Source organism: Homo sapiens, chromosome 14 (assembly GCF_000001405.40).
Source record: "Homo sapiens chromosome 14, GRCh38.p14 Primary Assembly".
Lineage (NCBI taxonomy): Eukaryota > Metazoa > Chordata > Mammalia > Primates > Hominidae > Homo > Homo sapiens.
Window position 1 is genome coordinate 53,164,856 of NC_000014.9, and position 16,688 is coordinate 53,181,543.

At 42.6% G+C, this 16,688-nt stretch overlaps 1 long non-coding RNA gene across 5 annotated transcripts in view, besides 1 other annotated feature; it reads left to right on the forward strand.

Moving 5' to 3' along the window:
- Positions 1 to 4,158: 4,158 nt before the first annotated feature.
- The window catches only part of LOC105370502 (uncharacterized), a 73,457-nt gene continuing 60,927 nt past the window's right edge, over positions 4,159 to 16,688 (forward strand). Inside the window, exons 1-3 of one of the 5 annotated variants that reach the window (XR_007064168.1) lie at positions 4,159 to 4,420; positions 4,850 to 4,922; positions 5,579 to 5,646. This is a non-coding gene — a long non-coding RNA (uncharacterized LOC105370502). The other 4 variants (XR_001750965.1, XR_001750966.2, XR_007064169.1 and 1 more) reach the window with 4 other exon arrangements.
- Positions 15,747 to 16,326: an enhancer, noted in NCBI's record as "active region_8402". NCBI's record gives its function as "activates an Ori minimal core promoter by ATAC-STARR-seq in GM12878 lymphoblastoid cells {active_cell/tissue: GM12878}" and the evidence as "EXISTENCE:reporter gene assay evidence [ECO:0000049][PMID:35858748]".

Here is a 16,688-nt window from a genome sequence, read left to right on the forward strand (position 1 = left end):
TTTCTTTCCTACATGGTTTGACATACATTCATAACAAAGGTAGGAACACTGTCCTTGTTTGTTTATTTTTTTATTTATTGAGATGGAGTTTCACTCTTGTTGCCCAGGCTGGAGTGCAATGGCATGATCTTGACTCATTTCAACCTCTGCCTCCTGGGTTCAAGCGATTCTCCTGCCTCAGCCTCCCAAGTAGCTGGGATTACAGGCATGTGCCACCATGCCCAGCTAATTTTGTATTTTTAGTAGAGACAGGGTTTCACCATGTTGGTCATGCTGGTCTTGAACTCCTGACTTCAGGTGATCCACCAGCCTCAACCTCCCAAAGTGCTGGGATTATAGGCATGAGCCACCGCACCCAGCCTGTATGTGTATTTTTAAATGTGTGCAGCTGGTATGACCAGGCTTTTCACTAGATATAAATGAGGTCATATTAACTTTCTAATGCTCCAAATATAACTTGAGCCCCCACTTAATTGATTACTAGTCAAATATTTCCCAAATATTCCTGTCGTCCCCCAAAGGATAGCTTATATCTGCTTACAGTGTGTCCACTACAGTAATCATCCAAGCCAACCATGTTCCTTTCCTGCTAGTCTAGCAACACTGTGTTCACCCATATGCCCTGCCTGTCCTCCAAGTAGCTTGAAGGAATCTCATTGTTGCCTTGGTAATGATGCTGTACCCTCCTGATATTGGTGGTGGCCTTGCCAAGAGCATGGTCTTCTGATTCCCTCTGGCTCCACTATCCAGGTGCCAAGCTGAGCAGGGAGGAGTGGACACCCCCAGCTCTGAGCCATGCCTTTCACCTGAAATTTCAAGTGATCCTCCTGCCTCAGTCTTCTGAGTAGCTGGGATTACAGGCTTGCACTGCTACACCTGGCTAATTTTTTGTATTTTTAGTAGAGATGAGGTTTCACCACGTGGGCCAGTCTGGTCTTGAACTCCTGACCTCAAGTGATCCACCTGCCTTGGCCTCCCAAAGTGCTAGGATTACAGGCATTGAGCCGCTGCACCCGGCCAGAATCTGCAACTCTTAAATGACAACTTCCTCACTTCTATCACCCAGGTTTCAAAAATCTTAGGGCCCAGGCCCAGCTAAAGCACTTTAGGCACAAAGGAAACTCTGCCATCCAGAGGGGAAAAGGTAAGCTCCTTTGCTATTAACCTAATAAACTCTGAATTATTTAGCAGACTGGTAAAGGCATGAAGGGTCTAAAGTCTGAAGACCAGCCAATGTCAGAGTATTAAATCCCTGAGACTGGAAAACTCTAGGTAGTTTCATAGGAATCTGGTAGAAAATGGGAAGAACAAAGGATGAGAGGGAAAGCTTCCAAAAACAGATTCTAGACATAAATTATATGCAAGACAAACTCTGACCTATCAATTAAGCTCTAAACTTTTTGACTTTCTAACATCACCCATAAGTTAATATCACAACAAACTCTGAAAGTGTTGTCATAAATATGACTGACACAAGATTACAAATCTCAATAAATAAAGAGGTCCTATTCACAGACTGGAAATCATAATAAGCTTCCATTAGAAAATGGCAGAAATTATGAACGTAAATTAACAAAAGAGGAAATGAAAACTTGAAAATTGTTAAGAGAATAGGATAAAGACTTCATCTGGTACAGTAGCAAAAAATGTAAAGTAAAACAATAATTGCATGCCACTTGTGCCAAAGTTTGTACCTGATCAGGGAGGATCCCTAATGGCATGCTCATGAGAGTAGAATTTATTCTGTATGAATAAATTTTAATGTATGAAAACATTAAAGGATATTTTATCAGGAGAGTAACATCATATCAGCCACCCCCCACCTTTTTTTTAAGGAAAAGGAAGATTAATTAGTCAATGCGATGTAGGATGAATTAAAGAAGATGAGACTGGCCTGGCACAGTGGCTCATGCCTGTAATCCTAGCACTTCGGGAGGCTGAGGTGGGCAGATCACCGGGTCAGGAGATCGAGACCCTGTTCTGGGTAACACGGTGATACCCCGTCTCTACTAAAAATACAAAAAATTAGCCGGGCATGGTGGTGGGTGCCTGTAGTCCCAGCTACTCGGGAGGCTGAGGCAAGAGAATTGCTTGAACCTGGGAGGCAAAGGTTGCAGTGAGCTGAGATTGTGCCACTGCACTCCAGCCTGGGTGACAGAGCAAGGCTCCATCTCAAAAAAAAAGAAAAAAAAAAAAGATGAGACTGCCTGCCATAATTGTAAATATGAGGGAACATTTCCAGAAATGGTCTGTGTAGACATACCGTTGAAGATCTAGCTTTGGATAAACCCATAAGAAAGGATTGAATTACATGCTAACTTCTTCCATTCACTATACTGTCTCTCACCAGACCTTGCTTCCTGATAAGGGATGCCATTATACCACAAGACTTTCTATAAAATGATATAACACAACAACATCCAATAACTCATTTTCAAATTAAATAGAGGTGTCCTTTTAAAGAAATTTCTTTCACAAATATTAGCAGGCACCAGCATCAAGAATTAGAGCACTTCTATTTTCAAAAGATGCTTTTTTTTTGGTCCATGAAACATGAGGAACAATTTTTTTTCTCACCCTGCCTTATGGTGCTGAGAGGAACAATTTTATCAGCCCCCTTAAAATGGCTATGCCATCCTTTTTTAACGGTCCTGCTTTATTGCAAAGGTAGTCTAATGAAATGAGACTTCCTTAAGTTTGGCTTTTCCCCAAAGACAAAGAATTTTCTGATACTTATTTTTTAGAATATTTCAACTTTATCTTAGAAGATCTCTTTTCCTAAGTGGACATAAATATTGTTTCCTTCTATCAAAGAAATAAGCGAACAGCAATTCTGTTTAACTGGCAATAACATTGAGCAAAAACTTATTTTGCCTGCTCAGATTTCTTCTGTTTACTTTCTGTTTTAACTGTGTTCCCCAGAGCTCACTAAGACATGGTGATGCAATGATGGTTTACCCTTTCCCCAACTAAGGCTTGCTTTCACCCCAGCCATCAGTGTACTCAAGTGACAAAAGAATTAATTTTAAAAAATTACTTATTGTTATTGCATGGAGGCCTTTTTCAGAACTCCACCAGGCAGAGCTCTAGGTATGGAGAAACAGAATATTTGGATTATAGTAACTTTCTCTTTCTTATTGTAGGTAGGTGCTTTGGGCCTTGCTGGTCCTAGCTCTCCTTGGCAGTGTCCTTCATAGACAGAAGGAAAAAACGTTAGTCTTCTTGATAGAGATCAGGGAAAGCGGGTGTGTTTCAAGATGTGTAGCTAATAGCAGCATGTGGGAATGAAGGAATGGAATAAGTACGGGACAGGAAATTAGGAAACCTGGATTCCAGACTCAGCTCTGCCACTAATTAGACATGTGACCTCTGGCAACTCTTTCACTCTCACAGGGTCTGATTTTTTCTCATCTGTAATATGAGGAAATTTGTTACCAGTGGCAAATCTGTACACATCTGCAGCAACCTCAAGTCTTGTCTCCTCAGAAGAAAGAATTGAACTGAGGGGCATAAGGCAGAAGGAGAGACTGAGGCAAGTATTATTTGTTTGTTTATTTATTTATTTATTTATTTATTTATTTATTTATTTATTTTTGAGACGGAATCTTGCTCTGTTGCCCAGGCTGGAGTGCAGTGGCCCAATCTTGGCTCACTGCAACCTCCCCCTCCTGGGTTCAAGCGATTCTCCTGCCTCGGCCTCCCAAGTAGCTGGGATTACAGGCACCTGCCACCACGCCAGGGTAATTTTTGTATTTTTAGTAGAGACGGGGTTTCACCATGTTGGCCAGGCTGGTCTCGAACTCCTCACCTCAAATGATTCGCCCACCTCGGCCTCCCAAAGTGCTGGGATTACATGCGTGAGCCACCGCGCCCAGCCGAGGCAAGTTTTAGAGCAGGACTGAAAGTTTATTAAAAAGCTTTAGAGCAGGGAAAAAAAGAAGGAAAGTACACTTGGAAGAGGGCCAAGCAGGCGAGTTGAAGGACAAGTGCACGCTTTGACCTTTTGACTTAGGGTTTTCTATGTAAGTATACTTCCGGGGTCTTGCCTCCCTTCTGCCCTGATTCTTCCCTTGTGGGTGTGCTGTCCGCATGCGCAGTGGCCTGCTAGCCCTTGGAAAGGAAGCATACGCAGTGTTTACTGGAGTTGTACGCATGCTCACTCCAGGCGTTCTTCCCTTACCTGCCGAATGTCCCTAGGAGGTCATATACCAGTTAAACTGCCCCATTTTGCCTCTTAGTGTACATTGTGAGCCCACTCAACCAGTTCCTGAGATACTACTGGGAAGCTGCTGATCACCAGTTTCAGGTTTTTTCCATCTGTTGGGAAACTGCCTATCCCTTGTGCTCGCTGCAACCAATTATTATTTTAGGGAGACAGTTAACCGCCTGACCATCACCCGATGATCGCCTGATGTTCATGGTAGGGGGTGGGGAGGGTGCTGCCTCCTGCCCTGCTCATATCTGCCTGACTACCTAGTGTAACAAACTGAGCTAAAAGTCATTTTTAGCTACAGCCTTTTTTTTTTGAGACAGAGTTGCGCTCTTGTTGCCCAGGCTGGAGTGCAATGGCACGATCTTGGCTCACTGCAGCCTCCGCCTACTGGGTTCAAGCAATTCTTCTGCCTCAGCCTCCCAAGTAGCTGGGATTACAGGCGCCTGCCACCATGCCCGGCTAATTTTTGTATTTTTAGTAGAGACAGGGTTTCACCATGTTGGCCAGGCTGGTCTCGGAACTCCTGACCTCAGGCGATTTGCCGGCCTCAGCCTTTCAAAGTGCTGGGATTACAAGCATGAGCCACCGCGCCCAGCCTATAGCCTTTTATAATTGTTTTTCCAACCCCCAAATCAGCATCCATGACTACATAAACTTTTTGGCCGTTTGACCAAATGGGGACATCTGGCATACTGCTATCAACCAATATGTAAGTAATTGAACTTTGATATATCACGTCAACCCAGAGGAAACTACAGCTATTGAAGTAGCAGGAGTGTCCCGGGGGACTGGGAGAGGGTGGATGTGGCCTACAGACCACTTCCATGATCTCATGTATTATCTCTTTTTTATACTTCTGTATTTTCACAATTATCTGATTTTTGTGTTTTATATTATTTTATATTCTTCTTCCAACCCTGACCCCTTTCTTTCCTTTACAGTGTTTGAGCTTTAGTGTTCTTGCAAAAGAATTTTCATAAGTTGGGGTCTGAAATAAATGTATTATAATTCTTGCTAACTGAAATACGTTCCCAGCCAACTTCATTCATCAGCTCACACTGGGCAAAGCCTCTGGAGCGTGAGGTGGGAGGTGCTGCTTCTGCAGGAGTTCCTAGCACTGGAGTCCTAGGGATAGGACCCTTACACATGTTATCTCAGTACATGGACCCTGTGGTTCACCTGGTATAAGGCAGAGGCTCTCAGTGTACTTCTATGTCCAGCTTGTGCCTTGTCTTCTTGTTTCTTAAACATGTGTTTCTATTTAGTCACATTGCACCTTGTTCTATTAACCAACATAGTGGGTGTACATTTCAGGCTACACATTCAATTGTACAAGAAACATCCTTTTTTTCTCTATTCTGCCAGGTAGTTGAAAATTAAGCTCAGGGTCTGAGTTCTGGGATGTTCACCAGTACCAAGGAGTCAGAATGGAGGTGAGGAACTGGGAGCATCTGTTTTATGTTGTCATCATTTATCCATTCTGGCATCTGCCAAAATTGTCAGTGTTCCTGTCCGATCTTTGATGGTGGATCAATGGATCACTGTTTTGTCTTCCTTGTCCCAAGCGCAAGGCTTCTTCAGGCCTGCTAGCCTTCTCTCAGCTACATTTGTAGTATTTTTTGAGTGACATAGTGACCTATAGAAAATGCGAGGCCCTCTGAGCAGGGGGAAACATCATGTAGCCATTTACACTCTGTCATATCCAGCTGAGTGGGGAGAACTGAAAGACCTAGCAGGCTCCTTAGGTTCTACCTTGAGACAGTGAAGATGGAATGTCTTAGCTGCTAGGGCTCAGGGAAGGGTGAGTGGAACTAAGAAATACTGGGTAGGGTAGGGGAAGAAGGGATGGGAGGAAGGAGAGGAACTCTAGGTTAATAGCTCAAAATATTATTCGACTACACAAATATTAATGGGTCTATATTTTGGGTTCCTGATTTTGGGTGTAAGACAATAATAAGCCTGTAAACTATTTGACTTACTCGTTCTAAAGATGTAGCTAAGATAGGATATTGTTTGAAAAACTTCAGTGCTGTTCATATTAATAGCAGAATTGGAAAGCAGTGATGTTGTCTGGTGCCTCTAGTTTCCTTTTTGTCTCTCTCTCTTTTTTTTTATTGCTTTCTCTTCCCCAGGCATTATCTTGGTCTCTTTGGACCCAGGGTTAAAAATGGAGATATATTCATTCATACTAAAATGTTCTGTCTTGTAAGTGTTTAAATTTTAGCTGGGCACAGTGGCTCACACCTGTAATCCCAGCACTTTGGGAGGCAGAGGCGGGTGGATTACCTGAGGTCAGGAGTTCGAGACCAGACTGGCCCACATGGCGAAACCCTGTCTCTACTAAAAATATAAAATTAGCCAGGCATGGTGGCATGCACCTGTAGTCCCAGCTACTTGGGAGGCTGAGGCAGGAGAATCGCTTGAACTGAGAGGCAGAGGTTTCAGTGAGCCAAGATCGTGCCACTGCTCTCCAGCCTGGGCGACAGAGCGAGACTCTGTCTCAATAAATAAATAAATAAATAAATAAATAAATAAATAAATAATAAAAGAAATACTTAAATTTAAAAAAAGGCAGCCCCCACATTTAAAATAAAGGAATGGATCATTATAGATGGGATTGAAGATAATTGGAGTGTGCCTGAGATTTTTCTGGGAAGAGAAAAAAAAAAGGGAAAAATCCAAAAAAATAAAAGATAATTGGAAAGGAGAGATTTTTATCTATTTCTCACTATTGGAGTAATCACTGCATGGTTCAGAGTAAAGGAAAGGGTGCTCTCTCTGATTTCCCTGGAAGCCTGGAACAAATGAGTTAAGGGAGGGACAACTCAGAGAAGGGAGCAGTTGCAATACAGAAGAGCGCTGGTATACAAAGGTACCTATCAGGCCATCAGGGGCAGAACTGCAGAACAGCTATCAGAAGGAGCCTGTCAGAGTCAGGTATTAAACAGGGCTGGTACATGGAAGTGTTAAGACAGGTTGAGAAGTAGGAAGACTGAGGGTTTCTCAGGTAAAGTCCAAAAGAGGGAATGGGAAAGGACATTTGATGTATATATGCTTGGCATGTGCTGTGGGTTTAAAGATACTGAGCCAGAATGGTTAGAGCTCCTGATGATGATGAAGGAAGTGGTCTCTTTAGTGTTGTTGAAAAATTCTTACCATGCAAATGTGCTGTTTATTGCTTTTTGAAATACAGTCAGAATTGATTTTCAACTGTAGCTGTTTGGTATATACCTTTAGGTATTTATGTCTTAAATTAATACCTTTCAGATGTAACTTTTTTTTTTGAGACTGAGTCTGGCTTCTGTCACCCAGGCTGGAGTGGAGTGCAGTGGCACAATCTTGGCTCACTGCAACCTCCGCCTCCCGGGTACAAGTGATTCTCCTGTCTCTGCCTCCCGGGTACAAGTGATTCTCCTGCCTCTGCCTCCCGAGTAGAATAGCTGGGACTACAGGCATGTACCACCACGCCCGGCTAATTTTTGTATTTTTAGTAGAGACAGGGTTTCACCATGTTGGCCAGGCTGGTCTTGAACTCCTGACCTCAAGTAATCCACCCACCTCGGCCTCCCAAAGTGCTGGGATTACAGGCTTGAGCCATCACACCCGGCCTAACTTCTTTTTAAAAAATTATTTTTTATATATACATATATATGTGTGTGTGTATATATATATATATATATATAAAATAAATGTTGTCATCATTTATCCATTCTGGCATCTGCCAAAATTGTCAGTGTTCCTGTCCAATCTTCGACGTATATATATGTATATATGTATGTATTTATTTTTTTTTGTAGAGATGGGGTCTTACCATGTTGCCCAGGCTGGTCTTGCACTCCTGGGCTCAAGCAATCCTCCTGCCTTGGCTTTCTGAGTAGCTGGAATCACAGGTGTACACCACCATGTTCAGCTAATTGTTGTATTTTTTGTAGAGACGGGGTTTTGCCACATTGCCCCGGCTGGTCTGGAATTCCTGGGCTCGAGCGATCCACCTGCCTTGGCATCACAAAGTGCTGGGATTACAAGCATGAGCCACTGTGCCCAGCCCAGATGTAACTTCTAATCACCTATATTCTCAGTGCAAAAGTTGTAAACAATGTTACCTCTAAGATTTTCCAACATGGTTGAATCCTTTCATTCCACCTTGGCTCAGCAGAATGGGCCAAGCCCAGTTACACAAGGAATTACTTCAAATTTTCTTGGGCTACCATTGTCCTGCCTGACTTGCCCACATCTGGTTTAATGTCTCCTTACTAGATTTGGCTAGTCTCATTGCATCTGTATCTGTTTAGCCAGCTGATTGGTCAGGATTCTGGTCCTGACTACCCTCCAACTGATTGACTGGTCAGGATTCTGAGCTTTGGCACCATTCTCCTGCCTTCCTGATTGTAGATTTTCACTCTAGGCCAGATATTGGCTGCATGTCTCAAGCCTTAGGACCTCCCCTTGGTATGTTATTGCCCAGGCATGAGGACCTTGATATAGCTAATTGGGTTGATGGCAGTCAGAAGTGGGAGTACAGGCTGGGTGCAGTGGCACTTTGGGAGGCCAAGGTGGGAGGATCACCTGAGGTCAGGAGTTCGAGACCAGCCTGGCCAACATGGCGAAACCCCGCCTCTATTTAAAATACAAAAATTCACCAGGCGTGATGGTGTGTGCCTGTAGTCCCAACTAGTTGGGAGGCTGAGGCAGAAGAATTGCTTGAACCTAGAAGGCAGAGGTTGCAGTGAGTGTGAGATTGCACCAGTGCACTCCAGCCTGGGCAGCAGTGCAAGACTCTGTCTCAAAATAAATAAATAAAAAAAAAATAAGTGGGAGTAGAACACAAAGAAATATGTTTTAACTATGCTCTAATTTTCCCCACTTGGTGGCTGGGTACAGTGGCTCACGCCTGTAATCCGAGCACTTTGGGAGGCAGAGGTGGGAGGATCACCTGAGGTCAGGAGTTCGAGACCAGCCCGGCCAACATGGTGAAATCTTGTCTCTACTAAAAATACAAAAATTAGCTGGGCGTGGTGGTGGAAGCCTGTAGTCCCAGCTACTTGGGAGGCTGAGGCAGGAGAATCGCTTGAACCCGGGAGGTGGAGATTGCAATGAGCCGAGATCCTGCCACTGCACTCCAGCCTGGGTGACAGAGCAAGACTCCATCTCAAAAAATAAATTAAATAAATAAATAAATAAATAAATAACAATCTTCTATGCTTCCGTTCTTCTACGTGACAAATCAGCAGAACATATCTTCAGAATCAGGTACTTCTTAAGCGGTAGTAGCCAAAGGGATTATTTGCTGATGGTTAGCAAAGCTTGCTTGGGAGACTTTTCCAAAGTGAAGGGATGGTTGAGATGAGCTAGCTTCAGACCCAGGAGAAATGGATCCACTGAGACAAATGTACACATTATGCCTAGATTTGGATTTTTGAAAAAATGACAGGAAAACAAACAAACTAACAAGTCTGGGTCAAACAACTAGCCAAACACTTAAGAATTGCTGAGGGGGTGGCCTTTTCTGAGAAACACTTGAGCACAAAGGTTAATTAGAAAGACAGTTTCACAAACGCAGCCCGGTCTTGCAGAGAGCAGTCTTACCTTGTACCTAGCAAGGGGCAGATTGGCACAGTGGACAGAGCCTGGGCTTTGGAGCCAGAAAAGCCCGAATTGGATCCCTGGCCCCTTACATTTATGGCTTTGTGCTCTTGTACAAACCATCAAATCTTCCTCAATCTCAGTTTTCTTCAAGCATAAAATAGATTATCTCAGAGGTTATTGTAATGATTAAAGGCAATGCGTATAAATCTCTTGGCCAATAAATGGTTGCTCTTATTTCAATGAAGGTCAAATTCTAGTGACTCTCACAGTCACTATGAGGCTTGTTACCTGGTTATATGGATAATACACATATATTTCTGGATTCCAAAGCACGACTCAGGATGCTTTGTGATTGCCAACACGTTCCACCAGAGGCCTGTTTCCAGACCTTTCTTATTTTTGCCAAGTAGAGATAAATGCTGATGGAAACTGTCACCTGTCACATTCCCAGCCCCCAGGCATCTCCCTAATCTCTCTGTTTCTCTGCAAGCAGGGCTGTCAGGGAAGGCAGATCAAGAGCTCAGACAACAAGGGACTACAGCTTTGGCCTCACTCCTTTGTCCATTCAAAGAGATGTACCAGATGCTTAGAGCTGGCTTGGAGGAACAGGCTAAAGGAGCCCAGATAGTTTAATAGTAAAAGATCCCCGTACACATCGGTTTTAAGCAAAAGACTATATGTTTGTATGATAAAATATTACCACTTAATTGTGGTCCTGGCCAGAATTAATCACAATTTTAATCAGCAATGCTGCAATGTAAGTAAGAAGGGGGTCCTGGGAAAATGCTCTGGACTTTTAAAATTTATCTCAGTGGAATGTGTAGAAAAACTTCTGGGTGTTACTGCTGGCATGGATTCTCACTTACTACATGGGTTCTCATTTCCTCATTTAATCCCCAAATTTATTTCAAAATATGACTTTGCCTCCCGGTAGTGACCATCAGAGTAACAGTGATTTCATAAGGTCAGTCTGGAAATCAGAATAAGTTTTGTTTTCACTGGTGAAATTGGTGAATTGTTTCACCAATTCCTCGATTGTCTTGCAGTCAGTTCAAATGAACGGTTTGTTCATTCAGTGCCTCAATTGCCTCAAGTCAGGGTGTTATAAATAAAGTTTCGGTGCTGCAAAATAAATAGCACTCAAATATAAAACTTTCTTTTTAATTATCAGCAAGGCAAGTTACTCCTACAGAAGGGTGCGCCCTTACAGATGGAGCAATGGTGAGCGCACACTTGGACAAGGGAGGGGAAGGGGTTCTTATCCCTGACGCACATGGCCTCTGCTGCTGTGTCGTTCCCCTATTGGCTAGGGTTAGACCGCACAGGCTAAATAATTCCGATTGGCTGATTTAAAGAGAGTGATGGGGTGAGTGGTTTGGTGGGAAAAATGGTTATGACAGAGCAGGTAATCGGAATGAGTCAGGGTGGAAAAGGTAATTGGAATGAGTCAGGGTAGAGCAGGTAATCGAAAAAGGTTGCTTTGCGAGGAAGTTAAGTTTAAAAGTAGAGGGCAAAGAATTGAACATACTAACATATTGATTCTTTGAAAAGAAATTTAGAATGCATATCTAACAACCCCTCCTCTTGCATTTCCTCACAACTCTTTCTTTTCAAACTTTTTAACATGTCTTGGCTTAGTGTTCTACTTGATTTTCTAAAAGAAGCTTCACTGGATAAGGTGGAGGATAGTTAAGGGAGGTTTTAGTAAGTGTCGTTTTTATGAGCCTCTGCACCAACCCACAGATGCATGGTGTGACACAACACCAGACAAGGATAAGTATACCCATTACGGCTGTGAGGGAAGTAAGAATTGAGGCTATTATTCTTTTCCATTTACCGAACCACTTTTCTAGCCATTCTGTAAAGGGGTCATTTACCCCTGAGTTGATGGCTAACTCATTGGATAGAGCAGTCAGACCTTGCAATGCTTTTGTTATACTTCCGTTAGGGGCGGTGTTGTTTCGAACGAAGGTGCAACATTGAGTTTTAATCATGATGCAGACTCCTCTTTCTGCTAATATCATGTCTAAGGCTATCCTATTTTCCCAAGCCATCTGGCTAGTAGCCCCTAATTGCTCAGCTATTCTTTTAACAGCACCTCTAGTGTAGTTAATAAATCACTGTTGGTTGTAATAGATGTAGTTTTTCCAATTTACATTTTTATTAATTGTCACCCAACAAAATATTGACTCAAATCCTGCAGCTATTTGATTTGGGCTTTAAATTGATTTGGTATTCCCCGTGGGACTCCAGTGGCATTTAAATAGGCGTGAGAGTTGAAAGACCCATAAGGGGCTTCTCTCGCTTTATGATGTCTTATTTTCCCTTCCTCTAGTTGATGAAATGCCAGGGTAAAAAGGATAGCCAATTGGACTAAAGCACAGATGCCACTCCAGTTATTTGGCAGAGTGTTCAGTAAAGGTCCACCACAATACCACCACACATCCACTCGGGGATGAACAAGGGCTGACTGATTGATAAGCTCTTGAAAATTCTTAAGCTCACCACACCCCTTCAGGTCTCCAAGGAATGCTAAGTTTCCTCCCTGTCATGAGAGACACAAAGTGAACTTAGTGTTGGGAGATGGAAGCTGGATGGCCCTTGGGGGCTGACCTGCTGGGTGCCGGATTTTGGGATATAGCAGAGACAGAGGATGGCATGACTTGTTACTTCAAGCTGTAGAATCCTGGAAAAGAGCTACCATGCAGCCCACGCCCAGTCAACTGGAGGACCACCCTAGTGGAAAGGGGACAATCTGGGCCTCTGGCCTGCGGTGTGCACAAACATAACAATTGCTTTTGTTTAACGTGCAGATGGAATATTTGATCCATTCCAACCAGGCATTTGCATCTTGATATCCTGTCTTAATTGCCAAAATTTGTTTTAAGTCTTTAACTTCTATGATAGCTGTCTCGGTCTTGTCTTGGTCTTGTTGTTAAATGGAGGAGGAGCAATTGTTCCGTTGTGAGAGGTTTTGGAAGAAGGCTTAGAGAAAGGTACAGGTGGTGGGGGATCAAAGAAATGCATTTCAAAGAATCCAATAGGGTCTGTCTCTGAAACCTCAGCCCCCATAGCATAAAACCAGCTTAAAGAAGGGAACCAGCTTAGAAAAGGGGAAGAACTTTGAGGGTTTGAGATAATAACCTCTATAGGATTGCACTGGTTTAGCTGACAGTTGGGGGGTGGGGTGGGGGCAGGGTGTCCCTCTAGTAAAATGAATGCATGGTTTTAGGAAATTATAAAAACAGATTGGGGCAGTCCATCCTTGCTCTTTAGTGGTCCACAGAATGTTGGACCAACTATGGCATAAAAGCTGTACATCTGGGAGCAAGACTGCTGGTTGACACTGGGGTCTTTATTAAAATCTCCCCGGATTAAATGGTCCCAATTCACTAATGCCTAGTCTGAGGAGTCAGGAGGGACAGAGTTACTTTTCTGAAGCAGAGAGCTGTCTTTGAGTTGGCAAGTCCCCACAGGGTATAACAAGGCAAGCATTACATGCAATAGTTTGAGGTGAAATTGACTTGGTTATATTAATAACTAGATGGTCAGCAATAGAGCGAGGAAAGAAGAAAGAGTAATAGAATAGATGAAAGAGAGTTAAATTTTTCTTAGCTTTAGTTTGGTAGGGTTTTCCCCTGGGACTATGGCCCACGACTCTGGAGGGGCAGCACTTTTTTGACTCAACTGTGATGAGTCCATCCCCTTTTTGTTGTACGAACAGCCGTCTTGGTGTTTAGCAGCACAAGGTAGGGTCCTTCCCAGGCTGGCTCGAGTTTTCCTTCTTTCTACCATTTGATGAGAATGTGATCCTCAGGCTGGTGCTAGTTTACCAGAAATTCTAGGGGTGCTACCTGTGCTAAAAGACTTTTAGTTTTGAGGGAAAGGAAAATGGAAGATAAACCAAGTATATAATTTCTAAGAAATTGACCTTTTGTTTTAAATGTGGGGACATCAGCAGTGGACTTTATAGTCCTTGGTGCCTTCTTACTGAGAAATTTCCTTTAGCACCTATTTTTATTACTTTTTAGACCAAAGAAAGCCAAACACCGTTTTATATTTGACAATGCTTCCTGTATGATTTTTATACCAGATAAGCTAAATTTCACCTTTATATTAGTGTGTTATTAATGTTAAACTTAATTGTAATAAAACCTTGTAGGCATATTTATTCAATTTTTAATGTCTGACCATAAGGTAAGATTTTTATAGTCTCTTTTTAACCTTTTATAATTTTTGTTAAAGAGCAGGTTAGTGCTTTAAGAAAAACTTTTGTGCTTTTATTTTAATGTCCAGTTCACAGAAAAACTGGATGATACCCCTTTAACTTTGGCCAATATGTTTACACACAGAATTTCCTTTACAATTAACATTTCAAAACTTGTTTAAACCTTTAAAACAAATTTTTTAACCTTTTAATGTAGGTAAAAATCCACATTCTTATGCCTCCTTATAATCCTTTTACCAAAGATATATTTTACTTTCCTTATACACCTTGCACATAAACTGTTTCTTCATTAGTTTTACATTCAGGAGGCCTAATTACTTTTAAATTATACAACATTTCTTGCATAAATTCCCTGTTATAACTTTCTTTTTTCACAACTTTTACAGACAATTGTTTGACATGCCTCAACTTTTTGACTTGTTGCAAACATCCCTTTCTTTAAACAACCAGTTAATTTATTTTAGGACAAGAACTTACCATATAACATTCCTTTTTATATAAATTATCCCCCCGACTATTTTTTCTCGAAGATGATAACCTTTCTTTTCCAAAGCGAACTTCCTTCATGTCTGTGGACTAGGCTGTCTAAGGCCACGGATTAGAAGTTAGGATAATACATGTTACACGGTTGACTTTTAGCAAACTTAACTTTTGTAAAGTAAAGTTACTTTTGTAAGTTTGGGATTTCAATTATTCTTTGCTATTAATAAGACCTTGTTCAGTCCATATGAACTTATAATTGGTATAGATGGCTCTTTCCTAATTCTGTAAGTACTTTAAGGCTTGGCTGAGTGCAACCAGCTGGCATGTTTGAGCAGACCAATTATTAGGTAATTTTCCTAACTCTGCTTCTACAAGAGTTTCCATATCATTTACTGAATACCCATTGTGTCTTTTTCCCTCAATCACCCGGGAGGGAGGAACCATCTATTGTCTTGTTCTGAAGGGAGTTCCTCCTAGGTCTGGTTGGACCTTTGTAAGGTAATTAAGATCCCTGTTAGGAAACCTGCAGGGTTAAGGGAATTTTCAGTGGTTAATGTTAAATCATCTTTTTCTAACAGAATAGCCTTATACTTTAAGGTTCTTGAGTCAGTAAGCTACCTTTTTGCTTCTTTTTTTCTTTTCTTTTTTGACTTAGGATGGTTCTGACCTGATGAGGTGTGCTCACAATGAGGTTTCCTCCAAAAGTTGTTTTTCTACTTTCTTCTGTTAGCAAAGCTGTTGCCGCTACAGATTGAATGCATTTGGGCCATCTGCGGGTTACTGGGTTAAGGATTTTTGATTAGGAAGGCTATGGGTTGTCAGTGGCCTCAGTGCTTTCGGGCTACGCCCTTGTTTACACTGACAACAAAGTGGTATTGGAGTGTTATAGGGTCATGGAGAAGACCTTCAATTATCAATTATAGGTTTTAAATTTACCCTGGCTTTTAAAGGAATAGGGTACACTGTTTTCTCTTTACTACTTCTATCTCTCTCTTTCTTTCTTTCTTTGACTTTCTGTCTCTCCCTCTCTCTCTTTGACTCCCTCTTTGTCTCTCTGTCTCTTCCTCTGTCTCTGCCTCTCTCTCTCTTCGACTCCGTCTTTGTCTCTCTCTCTTCTTCTCTCTCTCTTCCTCTCTCTCTCTCTGCCTCTCTTTTTCTCTCTCTCTTTTCTCTGTCCTCTCTGCTGGTCTTTCCCTGCCTCTGCCAGCCGCTTATGCTGCTGTTCTCCCCTCTCCTTCGCCTTCCCCTATGAGAGCAACCGGCGGGAGTGGAGCTATTCTTTCTTCCCCTGAGAAGAAAGGAAAGGGGAGTTCTGAATATTTTTCTTACTACCAGAGGTTTGTGTGAGGTTCAACCCCCTCCATGGGGATTTCTCACCTCTTTTTGAGGTTAAACCCCCCCCATGGGGATTTCTCACCTCTTTTTGAGGTTCAACCCCCCGCATGGGGATTTCTTACCTCTTTTTGAGGTTCACTCTCAGCATGGGGATTTCTCACCACTTTCTGAGGTTCAACCCCTCCTCATGGGGATTTCTCACCTCTTTTTGAGATTCAGCACCCCCCAATGGGGATTTCTCACCTCTTTTTAACCTCCAAGACATCCTGACTAAGGAGTACTTCACCGCCCCCTGCAGCTTTCTTTCCCTAGTCCCGACTAAGGAATGCTTTACTGCCCCTGCGGTTTCTCTGTCCTTGGTATGTCCTAACCAATGAATGCTTTATCGCCCCCTGGCTTTTTCCTTAGTCCTGACCACCAAAGAAATACTTTACTGGCTCCTGTGGGCTTCTCCTTCCTTGGTCTGTGCACAGAGCCATCGCGGCAGTATGTGAGGATACTTTAAGCTAGGTTGCTGGCCAGTTTCTTTCCATGTTGCTGAGAGCTCAGGTTATTCCTCACACTGGGTAGGTCTTGATTTCTCACCCCTGAGGCTGCCACAAGGGGGTGGGGCACACCTCCTCACGAGAGAGAACCAGAGACCACCCCTGGAGGGGAATGTAATCACAGGCGAGCCCCCAAATTGTTATAAGTAAAGTTTTGGTGCTGCAAAACAAATAGCACTCAAGTATAAAATTTTCTTTTTAATTATCAGCAAGGCAAGTCACTTCTATAGAAGGGTGTGCCCTTACAGATGGAGCAATGGTGAGCACACACTTGGACAAGGGAGGGGAAGGGGTTCTT